At 43.4% G+C, this 1,357-nt stretch overlaps 1 annotated feature.

Moving 5' to 3' along the window:
* Positions 589-883: a silencer, noted in NCBI's record as "tiled region #1195; K562 Repressive non-DNase unmatched - State 12:CtcfO". NCBI's record gives its function as "represses a minimal TATA promoter and a strong SV40 promoter by Sharpr-MPRA in K562 cells {active_cell/tissue: K562}" and the evidence as "EXISTENCE:reporter gene assay evidence [ECO:0000049][PMID:27701403]".

The raw sequence follows: 1,357 nt of genomic DNA, 5'->3' as shown, positions 1-1,357 counted from the left end.
AACCCCTTATAAAACCATCAGACCTCATGGGACTCATTCACCACCATGAGAACAGTATGGGGGAAACCACCCCATGATTCAAGTACCTTTCACCAGTTCCCTCCCACAACACGTGGGAATTATGGGAGCTACAATTCAAGATGAGATCTGGGTGGGGCACAGCCAAACCATATCAAAGAGAAAGACTCGGCACCTGACATTTGTCGTAAGTCCTGCAAGGGTGGCAATCGTTGACTATAGGGAATAGAGGGAGAAAATCCTTAATGTTTAATGTTGTCCACCCACAGTCAGTGAGCTCTGCCTGAACCCAGGCCAGGCAGGGCCACTGTCTCCCCACACACCACTTATCATTTCCCTCTCACACTGCCCTGCAGTGTTCCCCAATAACTGGGAAACACTGGATGTCAAGCAAGCCCACTAAGGCTCTTGTCCTGCCTGAGCTATGAACTACCTAGGTGATTTTGAGTCCTTCATTTCAGTCTCAACTTCCTCATGGAAAACATGAGTGTTGGAGATGATTTCTAAGGTTCCTCTAACCTTTACAGATCCTGTGATTCCAGGATGAAAAGACTGCAAGCTAAGCCATTACATAAGAGGTCCTTCCTAGCCTTCACATTCTGGGATTCTAAGAAGGGTACAATGTGGGCATCCCTCTGCTCAAACAGCAATTCAGAGCGGGACAGCTCGGGGTAAGCAAAGAGGAATCCTATGAAGGTGCAGAGCGAAGCTGTTTCCTTCAGGAAGATGTCCAAGAAAGGGCGGAATTTTGCTTTCTATCCTGAATGTGTTGGCCCCTGCGTATGGTAATCTCATTCTTATAGCGCCACCTACTGATAAAGAGCTTTTCAGCAGCAGATAAAATGTGCTCACAAAAGGGTTTGGTATCTCTACCTAATCTTGACCTTTTAATAAGCGTGTTTCAGGAAAGAATGTCAAGTGAAATTTAAAAACAAAACCTCTCCCATAGAGGGGCTTCTCTAACAGCTTTCACATTTAGAAAGAAAAAGGAAATAGAGCTTTGCAGACCTTATTCCATATTTGTAAAAAAGAACCAAACCTTTCATTTGTTCTTCTTTACAAGGAATGGATTCCTTGCTCAATAAAGCAAGCATTTTCCTGAAAGGTCATGAGTGTTAACCAAATTTGAATTGAGAGATTTACATTTTAATGGCAATAAGAGAGATCACTGCTCTGAAGAGTCCCAAGGGTAATCCTTTTCTAAAGCAGAATAATCACTCCACAATATTTGCTTTGGTAAGTTCAGCCTCTCATTTATTTTGTTTTAAACTGGGCCCACCTGTTCTTGTGACATGGGTTCTGGGCAATTTTAAATGACAGCCTTTAGCTCACACCCTCT

Source organism: Homo sapiens, chromosome 12 (genome assembly GCF_000001405.40).
Source record: "Homo sapiens chromosome 12, GRCh38.p14 Primary Assembly".
Lineage (NCBI taxonomy): Eukaryota > Metazoa > Chordata > Mammalia > Primates > Hominidae > Homo > Homo sapiens.
Note: the sequence above shows the minus strand (reverse complement) of the source record. Positions and strands in the feature narration are given on the sequence as shown.